Source organism: Homo sapiens, chromosome 14 (genome assembly GCF_000001405.40).
Source record: "Homo sapiens chromosome 14, GRCh38.p14 Primary Assembly".
NCBI classification, from domain to species: domain Eukaryota; kingdom Metazoa; phylum Chordata; class Mammalia; order Primates; family Hominidae; genus Homo; species Homo sapiens.
The window spans coordinates 69,798,957-69,817,384 of record NC_000014.9 but is presented as its reverse complement, the minus strand read 5'-3'; the positions used below and the strand labels follow the sequence as shown (position 1 = coordinate 69,817,384).

General features: G+C 43.2%; 1 long non-coding RNA gene and 1 other non-coding gene across 2 annotated transcripts; one reads left to right on the top strand and one right to left on the bottom strand.

Moving 5' to 3' along the window:
* Positions 1-1,417: 1,417 nt before the first annotated feature.
* Positions 1,418-5,625, bottom strand: LOC100506358 (uncharacterized). The gene is made up of 2 exons (NR_149012.1): positions 5,387-5,625; positions 1,418-2,120 (listed from the first exon to the last, which is right to left on the bottom strand). It is a non-coding gene; the product is annotated as an uncharacterized LOC100506358 (long non-coding RNA).
* A 7,428-nt stretch (positions 5,626-13,053) lies between these two features.
* LOC124900353 (small nucleolar RNA SNORA11) lies at positions 13,054-13,182 on the top strand. The gene has a single exon (XR_007064406.1). It is a non-coding gene; the product is annotated as a small nucleolar RNA SNORA11 (small nucleolar RNA).
* Positions 13,183-18,428: the final 5,246 nt, after the last annotated feature.

Sequence of the window (18,428 nt, the reverse complement as noted above, 5' to 3'; positions counted from 1 at the left end):
TCTCTGCTGCTGTGTAGTGACTGATGGGAAGGGTGAGCTCAGGATAAGGAACCAAGCATTGCAGTGCAGCCCTTCCTTTCCCCCTCCCCGCGGGGGACCTGCTTCCAGGGGGCAGCAGCCACTTAGGTCCGGTCCTCCAGGTGGTTTTTCAGGGCGTTTTGACACCACACTCTTCTGGGTTTCTGTGGCCTCACTAGTCATTCTTTACCAGTCTCCTTTGCATCTTCTTCCTTTTCCCCAACTCTAAATGCTGAAGCACCTCAGGGTTCTGACTTCAGTCCTCTTCTCTTCCGTCTTCATGTTCACTTCCAGATCATCTCCTGCAGTCCCAGCGCTATAAATGCCACCCAAACGCTGATGACTTCCATTGTGCATCCTGACTGCCTCTAAAGTCCAGCCCCATACTCCACATCTCCACCTGGATGATGAAGGGACCGCTCAACATTTGCACATTTTATTCATGAATGGCCTCTCCCCAGACGTGTTTCTTCCCCAGGATCCCTCATTCCTGGAAAACCGATAAACCCATGGCTCAGCTCTCCCTCCTTTACCCCTGATGCTCTCCTCAGCTCTATTTCAGGATCAACACAGATCCAAGCCTTTCTTGCCACGCACTGCTCGCACTCTAGTCCACTGCTGTCCACTGGAAATATCACACAAGCTACAAACACAAGCCATGTATCTAACTGTAGATTTTCTAGATGACAGATTTTAAAGTAAAATGAAGCAAGCAAGATGAATTTTAATAAAATATTTAACCCCATACAGCGTGGTGGTCAAAATACAGTGTTATTTCCACGTGTAATCAATAGTTTTAAAAATTATCCGTGTGATATCTGATGTTCTTGTTTCTGTACTAAGCCTTTAAAATTCAGTCTGTATTTTACACTCACAGCACATCTCCATTCAGACCAGCCACATTCCAAGTGCTCATAGCTAATTGGCCAATGGCTTCCATGTGGGACAGCACAGCCGTGGCCAAGCCGCCCTCAAGCCACCTTCATCTCTGGTCTGGATTGTCGTCATCTTCCTTCTTCCACTCTTAATCCCTGGAAGGCATTTCCCACAAAGCAGCCAGAATGAATGATCATGTTGCTGCCCTCTTTAAAATGTTCAATGGCCCCCACCACTCTGAGAATACAATCACAATCAGCAGTCCCCTCCACAGCCTACACCGACCAGCGTGCCCCTTCCTCCTTAACTTTTCCTCTGCCCCTTCAGCCAAATGAGCCCCAAACCAGGCCCGCTCCACTTGTTCCCTCCGCCCAGAACACTCCTTCCCTAATCCCATTCCTGAGTCCTGCACTATGCTTCTTCTTATCCCAGCCCAGAAGTCCCTTCCAAACCAGCCAGTTGCTTGCCCATTTGTAACCTGCAAGGACCTAGGGGAACTGAACAAAGGAGGCAAATGCGGGAATAAAAGACAAAGACAAAAGAGTATATTTGGAAGAAGGGTCAGGAAGCACCTTGCCTCTAGTGGACAAGGGACCTGACCTTGTACACAGCCTTCCGTATTTATTAGGCAAAAGAGATAGTGTGAAGGGAAGTGGAAGAGGGGGTCAGCTGCTCGGTCCAGAGTAGGCTTGCAAGACTGCATTCTCTGGATGTCCCAATAGATAACCTCAAGGAGCTTGGCGTCAGGAAGCAATTGCCCTCAGCAAACCTTCTGGGGCAGGCACAGTCATGAGTTTGCCCACATTCTGTATTCATGATAAACAGTTTGCTGTTTGATCGTATAGACTCAGTGGAATGTTGGTCACGTCCCATGGGCCTTTGGCTCTCTGTATATCCTCCTTTCTGTTTATGTATTAATTGAAGGAGTGTAAGGCCAGGGTGGGCAGCTCTCATTTTCCCATTGATGGTCCATCCAACTTTACAGACTGTCCCTGGTGCTCCAGTAGTTTCTCAGCCTCCTGTGTGGTTTTCTTGAGTTGTCCCCAGGTTATGGGGGTTGATGTCATGACTGTGGTCGGCCTTCTCTCCGTCTTCGCACTCAGGCTCAGCTGGCTCATGGCTCACACCAGAGGGACCGGACCCATGGTTGGCCACCCTGGGTTCCTCCAGTCTCCCATTCCATGGTTGCACACACCTTGAGGGCACCCACACGGCTTGTCCATCTCCTGTGAAAACACAAGCATACCCTCTTCTCCACGTCAGTAAATCCACCCGACCTTTCCATTGTCCTTCCAGGGATTTCCATAATGCTTTCAGATAAACTTTCCTCTTTTCCTCTAACACTTGCCAATGTCTTTCTGCTGGAGTCTTACCATCTGTACCAGGAGTCCAAAAATGTGAAGTAAATAAGGCTAAATGTAGTTTTGATTGAGGTGGTAGTTGGCCTCCTATACCCCTTTCGTCTTTTCAACATGTGTTGTAATGTTCAATGTGCCTGCTCTACAATGCCTTGTCCTTTAGGATTATAAGGAATTCCTATTTTATGGGTTATAGCCCAAAGCTATAAGAAATTTTGAAAAGCATGACTAGTATAAGCGAGTCCATTGTCAGTTTTTAATTGTTTAAGTATCCCCATATGAGCAAATGATGACAGACAATGTCACTGTACATGACCAGCTGTCTCACCTGTTTGGCATGTAGCATGCAGCATTTGAGAATAAGTGAAACAAATTAAGCAGTTCTGGGTCTAGTGTACTTTTAACTGTAGCAGTTTCCATGTGAATGTGACTGGCTACGTTTACAACATAAGCTGAATTACAGACAATGTTGATAGGATCTGAAGCTGTGAGCTGTAAAACCTGAATGACTGTAATTAGCTCTCAGCATTGCGCTGAAGCACCAGAGGTATCTAGCTTCTCCTGTGTTAGGGGCCATTGATCCACCCGCACAGGTTTGTCACTAAGCCATTCTAATGGTAAGGCAGTGGGCAGGGGAGAAATATCAATGACCTCTGTCAGAAATCCTGATTTCCTAGCCTTTTTCTATCTGTTTTGCCAGTTACTGATATCAGGTTAGGATTTTCCTGTAGGAATTTCCCTAAACCTTTTTCACTCTGATATCCATGTCCTTCAACATTTTAAATCCTGGGTTATCAAAGTTTTCATTTGTAAGTCTCATCTCCCATGCTGTAAGTAAGTCTCAGCCCCATAAACTGATAGCTATATTTGCAACATAAGGCTGAAAAGTACATGACTGCCCATCCGGACCAAGACAAGGTAAAATCTCAGCACTCTGTTGAACACTTTGAGCTGTTCCTACTTCCACTAGGGATGTAGAAGTTAATTGCAAGAGCCAGGATGTGGGCCAATTGTCTTTAGATATTACTGATACATCAGTTCCCGTATCCATAAGCCCATAAAATTTCTTTCCTTTAATTTGTACTACACAGGTGGGTCTATTAGAGGCTATGGGTCGGGATAGATAGATTTCCCATGTAGTTGTGCTCCCAAACCCTTTATTTCCTCGTTTCTCCTTTCATGGAGAAGGGTGTAATTTGCAGGGAATAAGCAATAATTGAGCAATATATTCTCCCAGTTCAAAAACCCAAAGATCTTGTGACATTAAAACTACTTGAGTTTCTCCTTCATAATCAGAGTCAACAGCTCCTGGGACTACAGTCATGCCTTGCAAGTTAAGGCGGCTTTTGCCTAAAATTAGTCCCATGTATCCTGCTGGTGAAGTTCCCCAAATACCAGTGGGAACTTTGATGGGTTTGTCTCCCCCAACTAATGTGATTCTTTCTCTGGCAGGTAGATCTAATCCTGCACTTCCTGGTGTTCCTGGGGTGATGGAATCAATGTGCCTCCAGGAACCCATGCCTAAAACGGGGTTAAGGTCTGGACTGGGAATGCCCTCACTGTTTGTGGGACCCAAGTCCAGGCCCCCATCTCATTTCCCGACAGGGGGGTGCCATTCCGATGAAATTTTGAGCAGCAGTGATTAGCCCAGTGATTTCCTTTGTTACAGCGAGGACAAAGTCCTGGCGTTTTTTCCGCTGATGGGGGAACTGCATTGTAAGATCCTTTCTGTCCTGAGATCTGGTGGCATTCCTTTTTTAAATGTCCAGTTTTTCCACAATTATAACATTTTCCCATTTTAGAGCTTGACCCTTGGCTCCTTTTAGATTTGTCAACTACTAAATTAGCCATTGCTTCAGCTAACATTGAAGAGCGATGAAGCTCAGTTCCTGCATCTTGACAAGCTCTGAGAAAATTTCCCAAGTTTTTTGTACATCTCACAGGTGCCAGTGCACTTTTATAATCCGTGTTTGCATTCTCAAAAGCTAGAGTTAAGGTTAGCATTTCTGCAGCCATGGTATGAGGAATCTGACGCTTCACTGCGTCTTGTAATCTTGAAAGAAACTGTGCATAGGGTTCCTATGACCCTTGCATGATATGTAAAAAGGATTGTACTGGGACTCCCTCTTCAGGAATTGTGGCCCAAGTGCATTTAGTGGCCTATGCGCACTGCTGATAAGCAGCGTCTGGGAGTGCCATTTGACGTTCCAGGTCTGAATAAGGGCCATTACCCAATAGCATATCCTCTGTAATGTCTCCGTTTCCAGCAGCACAGTTCTGTCTAGCCTGCTCTGCACACTTTTCTTGCCAATTGAAATTACACATCAGCTATGCACTCGCAGACAAGCAAGTTCGCGCCAAGTGTTTCACATCAAAGGGTAAAAGATGTATGACACCAAACACTGATTCTAGCAATCCTAAAGTGAATGGGCTCTGTATGCCATTATTTACCACACTCGCTTTTAATTCCTTTAACAACTTAAACTCTAGTGGAGTGTGTTCGTGAATAACCTGCTGCGGATTATTTGGATCAGGCGTTACGGAAATAGGAAAAGCACAAGGTCCTAAGGGCTCTCCGGCTATGACAGCAGAGCATAAATTCTCTGTATTGGGGGGTCTCTATTTTTGCCACCAAAGGAGGCAGTACAGATGTTTCTGCAACTGGAGGAGGTGGTATAGGCCAATTTTTATTCTCCCTCTCCTGTCTTTTATTTTCAATTGGATCTGTGGGTGGGACAACAGATTCTTTCAGATTTTTAGATTCAGCCTGCTACCCCGCATAATAATGAGATAATGGCAGAAGTACAGTACGAACTGAACTCTGAGTGGAAAAAACTGAAGAATCAACTTTAAAACCTTTTTGATGAGCCTGTTTTAATCCTTCTGCTCTATCCCAATTTTCCACATCAAGAGTGCCTGTGGAAACCATGGGTTATGCGTAATAACCTCCGGCAGCATCTTAATGTCTGAGAACTGACCTGAGCACCAGTTTGTTTCAACAAAACTTTAAGCAACTGCACATAATGTTTTTCTCCAACAGACAAATTCTGACTCATGTTACCCTGATTCAGAAAACTTCCCATTCCTAGTACTTCTTTAAAGCACTGCTCCCAGTACCTCTTTAGGGCACCGACCTTATATCCCTGTCGGCAGACTCGGCCTGGGGTCCCCGTTCACCTTCTCAATTTCAGTTCCTCTGCTCCAGCAGACCTTCTTCGTTTACGTCCTTGAAGTCCCTGTTCTGCGGCGCCACTATGTAACCCACATGGACCTAGGGGGACTGAACAAAGCGGGCGAATGCAGGAATAAAAGACAAAAGCGTATATTTGGAAGAAGGGGTCAGGGGGCACCTTGCCTCTAGTGGACAAGGGCCCTGACCTTTACACAGCCCTCCGTATTTATTAGGCAAAAGAGATAGTGAGAAGGGGGGTGGAAGAAGGGGTCAGCTGCTCGTCCAGAGTAGTCTCACAAGACTGCATTCTCTAGATGTCCCAGTAGATAACCTCAAGGAGCTTGGCGCCAGGAAGTGATTGCCCTCAGCAAACCTTCTGGGGCAGGCGCGGTCGTGAGTTTGCCCACATTCTGTATTCATGATAAACAGTTTGCTGTTTGATCATATAGACTCAGTGGAATGCTGAGTTGGTCACGTCCCACGGGCCTTTGGCTCCCTGTACCTATTGAGCCACGGGAGTCTCAAGGAGGAGGACTTTGCCAACTTGTGGCCTCTCTGCCCCAATGCTCCATCCAGCAGTCGTCAGACACAATGACAGCTGACCAGACAGGGTACTCCAGGATCTCAGCCAACTTCCCCAGGCCATGCTTGGGAAGGAGCACAGGTCTTCTCTGGCCTCAGAGTCCCCACATTTATTCTGGTGACTGTCTCCAACCCAGGATTGTGACCTTGGGTGGGATAGTAGGTCAGGGTGCAGGAACTTTGTTTCTCTCCAGCTTTCCCTCTGATTCTCTTCCCTTCCCCAACCCAGCTCTTCTTTTGCTGTTTAGACAACTGTTTAGATTCTGGTCTTTGTTTTTGTTGTTGTTGTTGTTGTTGTTTTGAGACAGAGTCTCACTCTGTTGCCAAGGATGGAGTGTAGTGGTGCCATCATGGCTCACTGTAGCCCCCACCTCCTGGGTTCAAGGGATCCTCCTGCCTCAGCCTCCCAAGTAGCTGGAACAATAGGCACACGCCACCAAGCCCAGCTAATTCTTCATTGTTTTGTAAAGATGGGGTCTCCTTATGTTGCCCAGGCTAATTTCAAACTCCTGATCTCAAGCAGTCCTCCTGCCTTGGCCTCCCAAAGTGCTGGGATTGCAGGCATGAGCCACCACACCTGGCCTAGATTCTGGTCTTGAAAGCTATCAGTACTTTCCTCTGCTTTCAGTTTCAATGAAAAAGCTGAGTATCCTCATGCTTCCTTCTCTCCACATTTCTGAAATCCTCCTCTAAAGGCATGAGGGAACTTCCCAGCCAGGTAGCTGAGGGGCCACAGGTTACAGGATATTGTGGGCTTGGGGTGGGGAAGGTTAGTACTCAGCATTCTGTATCCTGCCACTTACTGAAATGTATTTCTATTAAGAGGTATTTACCATACCTCAATAATAAAAATAAAAGACAGGTGCTAAAGTGATCCATAATACAATGGAATCACACCACGATGTGTTACAAATTCACTTCTTACACACCCCACGATTTCCTCATGAGGTGAACATACAGAAGGTAAGGCCCTGAGCCCTCTGATAGACCTGTGGGTCTGCAGGGCTCCAGCCTTCCAACCAAGGCACATTCATGACAAGTGCAAATAACCACCCAGGGACAGCAGGAGGAGCTGGGCTGAGGCTGGCAGAGACACACACGATCACATGCTGGTGGTCTCCATAAGACTGCTGTTTGCCCCAAGGTTGCTGTTATTTTTTTGGTTATTGCCATTTTTATGTGGTCAAAATATTTTCTACTTTGATTAATTTTTTTTTTTTAATGGAGTCTCACTCTATCACGCAGGCTGGAGTGCAGTGGCGCGATCTCGGCTCACTGCAACCTCCGCCTCCCGGGTTCATGCCATTCTCCTGCCTCAGCCTCCTGAGTAGCTGGGACTGCAGGCACTGGCCACTAGGCCCGGCTTTTTTTTTTTTTTTTTTTTTTTTGGTAGAGATGGGGTTTCACCATGTTAGCCAGGATGGTCTCGATTTCCTGATTTCGTGATCCACCTGCCTCGGCCTCCCAAAGTGCTGGGATTACAGGCATGAGCCACCGCGCCTGGCCTTTTTTTTTTTTTTTTTTTTTTTGTATTTACAGTAGAAATGGAGTTTCACCATGTTGGCTAGGCTGGTCTCGAACTTCTGGCCTCAGGTGATCCACCTGCTTCGGCCTCCCAAAGTGCTGAGATTACAGGCATGAGCCACTGCACCCGGCCATTCTTTGGTTAAATTCTAAGTATTTAAGGCGTCTTAGAAGCACCTCCATAGAACCCCAGGACATCTAGGAACCCAGTTGTAAACAGTCAGACTAAACCATGAATAGCACTTATCTCTGCGTGGTGAGATTTTTGTTTTCTTTTTTGTGCTTATCTTCATTTTCTGCCTCCTCCATAATGCAACTCATATTGTTTTGTTCAAGCTGAAGAGAAATCAATGTTTTAAAGGACTTCTGACCGGGTGAGTCCTGCTGCTCTCTGCCCTCCTACAGACTTTGCTCCCTTCTGGCCATGGAATGTTTGCTTAAAGTTGCAAGGGGGAAAGAAGTGCTTCAGAGGGTAGCTGACCTCCACTCCACCAGCCTCACCATTTTCCAGGCTGAGTGGTGGAACCATAGAGAGTGTGGCAGTAATCACAACTGGCGTGATTCCAGGAAGATAATTGAAAGAGCTCCCTCAGCAAAAGTCATCAAACACTGATAGTTGTTCCCAAGAAGGCAGGGTGAGTCCTTTGGAAGTTTTAAAAAGCAGTAAAGCAACCCAACAAGGGTCAGGAAACCCATGCACCCAGAAAACATCACTGACACGTGGCAGGTAGCGGCAGCCAGCAGCAATGACCTTCCCCATTCCCCAGTCCTCGCTCATAATCATCAAATCAGCCAATTATGGCCCAAGAAAGGCCTAATGCCCTCCACTTGCCACTGCCTTTTCTCGCCAGCATCCACCTGACCTATCAGCTCTCAGAAATGGGCCAAGCTCTCTATTGTCAGTATTCACTGACCGCCTAAACCTGCTGTGGCCCCCAGCTATGCAGCACCAAATTCAGAAATTTACAAATGTGCTTGATGGCACAGAGAGAGTTCAGAAGTACTCACTGAGTGATATTGCTGCTTCAGCCATAGGAAGTGAGGGGACAAGCTTGCTGTCCCTTCAAAGCCCCACTTGCTACCCTACCTTTCAGCACTTTTTTTTTTTTTTTTGAGACGGGGTTTTGTTCTTGTTGCCCAGGCTGAAGGGCAATAACATAATCTCAGCTCACTACAACCTCCGCCTCCCAGGTTCAAGTGATTCTTCTGCCTCAGCCTCCCGAGTAGTTGGGATTACAGGCATGTGCCACCACACCCAGCTAATTTTTGTATTTTTAGTAGAGACATGGTTTCACTATGTTGACCAGGCTGGTCTCGAACTCCTGACCTCAGGTGATCCACCCTCCTCAGCCTCCCAAATTTCTGAGATTACAGGCATGAGCCACCGCGCCCAGCCACTTTTCAGCATATTTTACGCCTACTTTGGAATGGGATCCATCCTCTAAGAGCTTGTAAAAAGCAACTTGTCTGCCATCTTCACTGAGTTAGTAGCTTGTATACGCATTTCCCAACCACATGCTGGAACACTGGATCAGTACCATTTTGCTTTAATTTTGACAGATACCTAAGAGACAACGCATAGGATTGTATGAACCCATTCTGCTCATCCCCCTTCTCTAACCCACCACTTTCCAGCTAGTCTAACCCTAGAATCCCAGGTGAGAAAATAACTTGGTAGTCTCCTTGTCCAACTCTCTACTTGGTACTTGAGTCGCCTGAAAAAATGGTCATCTCTGCTTGAATGTCTCCCACCCACCTGAGCCCCAGTGGCAGGCACTTCCAAGGGACTTCATTTCTTTTTTAGACAGTTCTAGGTTGAAATTTTTCCTTATGTGGAGCCCAACACAGAGTCACCTTCCCAACTCTGAAATATCCTAAATCCAAAATGTTCTGATTTCTAAACTTTTTTTTGTAACTCCTTTTGACAGCAAACTCTGTTCTAAACTGATGTAAGACTAGTTATGGTTTTTGCTTCCCGCATCATATGGTTCACTGCAGAAAATATCAATGTGTTTCATTATGAACCCCAATTAAGATATTACATAATATTCAGTATATGTACTATATCAGCTTTCCACACTTTGAAAAACTATAGAGAGTTTTGGAAAAGATATTGTAAACCTGTATCTGCTTTTCTAAATATGATATTTAGGTTTTTTCTATATCCTAATTATTTTTTTTCAGTTGATCCATCATTGACTGTGATGGGTGAATTAAAGTTTCCTACCATTTGTTTGTCTGTTTTTACCCCCTGTATCTCTTATAATTTTAGCTTTATGAATGTTGTGCTTTGCTATTTGGTACATAGATATTCAGAACTGTTGTATTCATTGTGGATTCCATCCTTAAGTATTATAAAGTGACTTTCTTTCTTTTTTTTTTTTTTTTTTTTGAGGCAGAGTCTGGCTCTATCACCCAGGCTAGAGTATAGTAGCTCTATCACTGCTCACTGCAGCCTCAGCCTCCCTGGCTCAAGTGATCCTCCCAGCTCAGCCTCCTGAATAGCTGGGACTACAGTTATGCAACACTACTCCTGGCTAATTTTTTTTTTTAATGTTTTGTAGAGACAGGGTCTATGTTACCTAGGTGGGTCTTGAACTCCTGGGCTGGAGTGACCCTCTCACATCAGCCTTCCAAAGCACTGGGATTACGAGCATGAGCCACAGCACCCCACCTTAAAGTGACTTTCTTCATCTCCATCTAGTGTGATATTAAAATTATGACCTGGGCTTTCTTTTGTTTGTCTTTTGTTTTGTTTTGCATTTGCCTCACCTATCTTTGTATGTACTTTTATTTTCAACCTTTTTTTTTTTTTTAAGATGAAGTCTCGCTCTGTCACCCAGGCTGGAGTGCAATGGCGCAATCCCAGCTCACTGCAACCTCTGCCTCCCGGGTTCAAGCAATTCTTCTGCTTCGAAGCCTCCTGAGTAGCTGGGATTACAAGCATGTGTCACCATGCCTGGAAAATTTTTTTATTTTTAGTAGAGATGGGGTTTCACCATATTGCCCAGGCTGGTCTCAAACTCCTGACCTCAAGTGATCCACTCACCTCGGCCTCCCAAAGTGCTGGGATTACAGGCATGAGCCACTGCACCTGGCCTATTTTCAACCTTTCTGAAAACACTTATTGTAGGTGCTCACTTGCTTGAGCTCAGCATGAAGGTGGGTGTTGCCTAAGAATACTCTGAAATATTGTTTATTTTAATAGGTGAGTTAAGCCTATTTCAACATCTATTCATATGTCAAATAAATTAGCGTTAGTTCTAACATAGTAACATTATGTTCTATTTTTGTTTAGTTTTTTAAAAACATTCACTATGTAGTCTGTTGTCTTTGTTGCTGTGAATAATTATTTTCAAATTTCAATAGGTTTTCATTTTTGCTCTGTTACTTTTATAATAAAACTTTTAAAAAATACCTCTAGTTTTCTATTATTCAAGAAATGTCTATTAGTGCCTAGGAACAATGAAAAAAAAAGCACATTTCCTCTTCCTCTCTTCCTCCTCTCTCCTACCAAAGAGAACATCTTTCTCTGAGTTTCATTTTGTACTATTAAAAATGTGTATGCTTCTATTACTTGGTTTGTCAGTCTTGAGTAATATTTTTTGACTCCCACTTATTACAGATGTAACAATCAGTTACCTTAATCTACCTCTCACCTACTTTCCCCCTTCCTCCACGAGTATTTGTTCAGTGCATGTATTTATACATTGTCAGGACATGTCATTTTTACATTATTTTCAATTACTCTAAAGTGTGGAATTATTTTTGCTTTAGTCTACATTACATATATTCAAAGTTGCCTCCAGTCTTTTTTCTATAATGTCCTCAGTTATCTCTTTGTTGGCTGGCATCCATCCTCTGATTGTTTCTTCAAGAAAGATTCAAAGAATCGACATCCCCTGAATTATTTTATGATCGAGGATATCTGTAGTCTTTATGGTTGAAGGATAATTTGGCTGGATTTGAACTCCATGTGTAACACTTTTTTTTCCCTTGGACATCTTTTTTAAGTATTGCATGACTTTCTTCTGACATTGAATATTGCTGCACGGAACTCGGAAACAAGCCTGCTTCCCCCGCCCCTCAGTGACTTGATCATTTTGCTTAGTTATCTTTGAAGTTTAATAACTTTACTAGGACACATCTCTAGGTTGGCTCTCCTGCATTAATTTTCTCTGATACATAATATAAATTAATGTCTCTATTTCAGAAAATTATATTTTTGTCCCTTGCTGTGGTTTTTTTAATTGCCTATTATTTGCACCCCTTCCATTTCATCCTTATTTCTCTGATACTTTGATCTGAGTTCTGCCCACCCATGCTTCATCTCATTCTGTTATCTCACAATCTCATCCCTATGTTCTTTTTCCTTTCAACTTTTCATTTGGAAAACTTGCAGAGCTACAGACATGTTGAAAGAATAATACAATGAGCAGCCATATATCATATACTTCATATAGATTCACCAATTATTATTATTTTGCTCTATGTGCTTTCACTGTCTCTATACTCACAAACAATACATACATGCATTTTTCCAAATCATTTTTAAATAGATTGTAGACATCAGAACACTTCAACCACAAAAACTTTAGTCTGCACCTCCTAAAATAAAAACATTCCACTATATAACCCCTATCTTAGACCATTTGAATTGCTAGAATAAATTACCATAGACAGGGTAGCTTGTAAACAACAGAAAATTATTTCTCACAGTTCCAGAGGCTGGGAAGTCCAAAATCAAGACACCCACGATTCAGTGTCTGTCGAAGGCCTACTTTCTGGTTCACAGATGGTACCTTCTTGCTGTGCCCTTAGATGGTGGAGGGGGCAAGGCAGCTCTATGGGTCCTTTTTTATAAGGCCACAAAACCCATTCATGAGAGCTCTGCCCCCATGACCTAATCACCTCCCAACAACCCCACCTCCCATCACATTGGTGATTAGGTTTCAACATATGAATCTTAGGGGGGCACAAGCAGTCAGACCATAGCAACCATACTAATTTAACAATAACTTTATAATATCATCTAATATATAATCTATACTCAAATTTCCCCAATTACCTCAAAAAATGTTTTTAAATACTATTCCAACCCAGTATCCAATTATACATTGCATTTGCTTGTTATGTCTCTTTATTCTCTTTTTTTTTTTTTTTTTTTTTTTTGGAGATGGAGTCTGGCTCTGTCACCAGGCTGGAGTGCAGTGAAGAGATCTCAGCTTACTTCAACCTCCACCTCCCGGGTTCAAGCAATTCTCCTGCCTCAGCCTCCCAAGTAGCTGGGACTACAGGTGCATGCCAGAACGTCCAGCTAATTTTTGTATTTTTAGTAGATATGAGGTTTCACTATGTTGGCCAGGATGGTCTCAATCTCTTGACCTCATGATCCATCAGCCTCGGCCTCCCAAAGTGCTGGGATTACAGGCATGAGCCACTGCGCCCAGCCTTTATTCTCTTTTAATCTAGACTAGATCTCCAACTTTTGTTATGACATTTACTTCTTTAAGAGTATATGCCAGGGTTTGCTTAGGGCAGGGAGGTTGAAGAGTGGCTCCTCTGTTTACAATACACCAAACAGGAATCTGGGGTCATTGTGACAAGGGGCACAAAACTTGTGTCCTCCCTACATGTGAAAAAAAAAAAAGAGAATCCATGCCAGTTGTTTTATAAAATATCCCATAGACTAGATTTGTCAGGTTGTTTCTTTATATTTCATTTGTTTATCTAGCATTTGTATTTCTGATAAATTGCCAGCTAGGTCCAAAGACTTGATAAAATTCAGATTAAACATTTTGCCTGTAATGATGTTGTGAATTTCATATTGCATTCCATCAGGAGGCACATGAGTTTAGGCTGTCTTGATATCAGTAATTCCAAGTTTGACCACTTGGTTAAAATGGGTAACTGCTAGGTTTCTCCAATGTAAAGGTACATATCTTCCCTCTATAATTACTCCATGTGGTGATACTTTATCACCATGAATATATTATTCCCCAATTGCCTTTTACTCAAGGGTTTTCACATCTATTGATGATCCCTACCTAAACCAATTGCTATATTAGGGGTTGCAAAATGGTAATTAAAAAAAAAATCTGTTAATGTATTTCTGTTTTGTGGTCTTTCTTCATAGAAGCAATTACTGCATTCACTTTTTAAAATTCAATTGCCTAATGCTTTTTTCAGCTGCTCTATGTCAATTTTTTCTGGTAAGTATTCTTCAATTGTTGGAAATGTTTGACACTCTTTTTTCCTCCTTCACCTTATAGTGGATTTAATTTGATGCTATGTGTCACTCATTATTGAGTGGGCAAGTTATTTGCATGAGGCTCTGTTGGGGGGCGGGACAAGGTATCCTTTTAGGATAGCTGGCTTCCCTCCACCACCATCAGCCATAGACACAGACTGCTTCATACAACTACTGCTCATCCATTTGATTTTTTGTATAGCCCCATGTGGACAGTTAATGATGGTCATAAATTCTTTGCTACTCTTCCCATTTAGAGGTGGAGTCTATTTCTCCCATCCCTCAAATCTGGGACACTCTTAGTAAATTGCTTGACAAAATATAATGTGCTGAAAGTGACATTGTAGGCCTTCCATACTAGGTCATAAGATGCCTTGCAGCTTTGACTTAAGCCTCGTGGAGCAATTGCTCTGGGGCCATCAGCTACCAGATAAGAAGTCTGACTACTCTGAGATCACGATGCAGATGACTTATCCTCAGCAACCATATGAGGACCCCAAGCAAAAGCCATCAGCTGAACCTGTCATATCCCAGAACTGTGAAAGAGAATAACAAATAAATGTTTAAAATCACCAAATTTGGGGGTGGTTTGTTATACAGCAATGGATAGCTAAAACGTCCGCTTCTACGGGCTGTATGAACCTGAGCGGGGTATAAGATGGCTTCTGCTGTCAGCCTTGCTCACCCAATTCCCATAGCTGTTGTTACAAAGGAAGGAGATCTCTTTTGCACTTGAGGTTGCATCCTCCACCTGCAGGAGGTATACATATTCCTAGAGCTTCCTGACATCCACCCCCTCTGCATTCTCTTTCTCCCTAGTGAGTGCTGCCTAATGGTGACACCGGCAGCCTTTTCACGCATTCTGGAGTCTGCAAATGGTATGTGTCCCCGTTTCACCAAAAAATTATTGTCTATGGAATTTTTCCCCATTTTCCTTGTTGCTTTTGAATGATTTCTAGAAAAGGAAGGGAGAAATAGCCTCTTTCTTTCTTTCTGATTTGTTTGTTTTAGACAGGGTCTTGCTCCGTCACCCAGGCTGGATGCAGTGGTGCAATCACAGCTCACTGCAGCCTCCATCTCCTGGGCTCAAGCAATCCTCCAATCTCAGCCTCCCAAGTAGCTAGGACTACAAGCATGCACCACCACACACAGCTAATTTTTAAAATTATTTTTTGTAGGGACAAGCCCTCACTATGTTGCCCAGGCTGGTTTCAAACTCCTGAGCTTGTGTGATCCTCCCACCTCAGCCTCTCAAAATGCTGGAATTACAGGCATGAGCCCGAGCCCAGCCATCCAGCCCTTTTTTTCTTTTTCTTTTTAGCCTCAAGGTTCACTCTGTCGCCCAGCCTAGAGTGCAGTGCGCAATCATAGCTCACTGCAGCCCTGACCTCTCAAACTCCTAGGCTCAAGCGATCCTCTTGCCTCAGCCTTTTAAGTAGCTGGGGATATAGGTGCCTGCCACCACACCTCGCTAATTTTTTATTCTGTGTAGAGACTAGGTCTTATTATGTTGCCCAGGCTGGTCTGGAACTCCTGGACTCAAGCAATCCTCCTGCCTCAGCCTCCCAAAGTGCTGGGATTACAGGCATGAGCCACCATGTCCAGCCTCTACAGCCACATTTATACCATAAGTCACTACCATATTTTTTAATGGCTACATTCTTTTAAATGGGCCATAACCAATCACCTACTAATAGATATTTAGGTTATTTCCAATAGTTCACTATTACAAAGCAATGCTGCAGTGAAAATCTCTTTACGTAGATCCTCAAGCAATTATCTCTATAGGATAATTTTCTACAAGTAGAATTCTACTGTCAAGAGCAATGGCTGACTGAAGGCTTTTTATGCCACTTCAGAATCTGGGAAAATAGCTGACTTTTGCCAGAGATGAAATTAAAATGTCCCTTAAGTAAAATTTACACAGCCACCACTACCCCCCCATGATTGTTTGGATGTTGTGTTTGTTGTGTTGCTTGCTACATCCAGCCTGTGAAAGAACAAGTCTAGGCCAGTTTGGAAAAAATATGCAATCACAGGATCTTTTCCAGTCAAAGCTTTCAGGTCTCAAAAAGCAGGCTAACTCGGGAGACAGGATGAGGCAAAAGAAGGAGCAGGTCAGAAGAGCAGCTGGGGCCCGGAACCAGGCTGGGCATGAATACCAATTGTACCACTCACTAGCCATGCAAATTGGGCAGATTATTTAACCACTCTAAGCCTTTTCCTAACCTATAAAATAAGGATAGCAATAGCATCTTATCTCATAAGGCTATTGTGAAGACTAAATAAAAACGTGGGCATTTAGTGCTATACATTTCCCTCTTAACACTGCCTTAGCTGTATCCCAGAGATTCTGGTATGCTGTATCTTTGTTCTCATTAGTTTCAAATAACTTATTGATTTCTCCCTTAATTTATTTGCCCAAAAGTCATTCACGAGGAGGCTGTTTAATTTCCATGTAAATGTATGGTTTTGAGCAATTTTCTTTGTACTCAATTCTATTTTTATTGCTTTGTTGTCCAAGGGTGTGATTGGTATAATTTTATTTTTGTTTTTTGCATTGGCTATGAATTGCTTTATGTCCAATTCTTTGGTTGATTTTAGTGAATGTGCCATGTGGCAATGAGAAGAATGTATATTCTGTTGTTTTGGGGTGGAGAGTTCTATAGATGTCTACTAGGTCCATTCAGTCAAGTGTTGAGTTCAGGTCCTGAGTATCTTTGCTTTGATGATTCGTCTTGCCTTGATGATCTGTCTAATACTGTCAGTGGGGTGTTGAAGTCTCCCTCTGTTATTGTGTGGGAGTCTAAGTCTCTTCATGGGTCTCTCAGAACTTGCTTTATGCATTCACCCCCTCTGGAGGATGCAGCAACAAGGCATTATCTGCAGAGAGCAGCCCTCATCAGATACTGAATCTGCCAGCACCTTGATCTTAGACTTTCCAGCCTCCAGAATTATAAAAAATAAATTTCAATTATTTATTTTTTAAAAAGAACTTGCTTTATGAATCTGGGTACTCCTGCGGTTGGTGCATCTATATTTAGGACAGTTAGGCCTTTTTGTTGATTTGAACCCTTCACCATGATGTAATGCCCTTCTTTGTCTTTTTTCATCTTTGTTGGCTTATAGTCTGCTTCGTCTAAAATTAGGATTGCAACCCCTGCTTTTTTCTGATTTCCATTTGCTTGGTAGATTTTTCTCCATCCCTTTATTTTAAGCCTATGGGTGTCATTGCATGTTAAATGGGTCTCTTGAAGACAGCATGCTGTTCGGCCTTGCTTCTTTATCCAGCTTGCCACTCTGTGCCTTTTATTTGGGGCATTTAGCCCATTTACATTCAAGGTAAAGGGAACACTTATACACTGCTGGTGGGAGGGTAAATTAGTTAAACCATTGTGGAAAATAGTGTGGCAATTTTTCAAAGAACTAAAAACAGAACTACCATTCAACTCAGCAATCTCATTACTGGGTATATACCCAAAGGAATATAAGTCATTCTACCATAAAGACACATGCACACGTGTGTTCATTGCAGCACTATTCACAATAGCAAAGACATAGAATCAACCTAAATGCCCATCAACAGTAGGCTGGATAAAGAAAATGTGGTACATATACATCATGGAATCTATACAGCCGTAAAAAAGAATGAGATCATGTTCTCTGCAGGAACACAGATGGAGCTGGAGGCCAATATTCTTAGCAAACTAATGCAGGAACAGAAAACCAAATACTGCATGTTCCCACTGATAAGTGGGAGTTAAATAATGAGAACTAATGGGCACGAAGAAGGGAACAACAGACACTGGGGCCTACTTGAGGGAGGAGGGTGGAAGAAGGGAGAGAATCAGGAAAAATAACTATCAGAACTATCAGGTACTATGTTTAGTACCTGGGTGACAAAGTGGTCCGTGCACCAAACCCCCATAACACAAGTTTGTCTGTAACAACAAACCTGTACATGTACCCCTAAATCTAAAATAAAAGTTAAAAAGAAATGTAATTTAAATCACAGCATCCATCACACAGCATGTGCTCAACAACTCTCAGGTATCATTAACATAACACAAAAAGATCTTCCTGTTTCCAAAATTGTATTAAATTAGAGTAGATTCTGAGGGGATATGGGGAAAAGAATGGAGGGTGTCAGGTTCCTGGAAGAGATTTTTCCATTCTCTGCAAAGTCACATTGCTAGGAACAGAGGGAATGGGAAGGAGTGGGAGGAGGGGCAGCCAGGGCAAGAAACTGTTTTCTCAAAGGGAAAAACTCACAGTAGGAGGTGGAAGGATTTTGGGTTCCTGAGAAGAGGTGAGGAGGAAGAGTTGATAGAGACTACGTGGTTTAGAATCCAGGTTACAAATGTGTTCATAGGAACTCTTCTTCTCTTTGGATGTGCACAATAGACACATGCCCAGACCCTGATCTTTAACAGATATTGGTCAATTCCTCCTCACCCTTTGGCATCAGGCAAATGTGTAAAAACCTAACGTCTCCCTTTGACTTCAAGGCCTCATGTACGGTTGCACAAGACATCTGTAGAGTGGCGTCCCTAGCATTGTGTAGTGCCCAACCTGAACAGGTGTACCTGGCAGCCCTGCATGGCCTCCACCCTCACGTGCTTCCATATTGCATTGTGTACCATCTGGC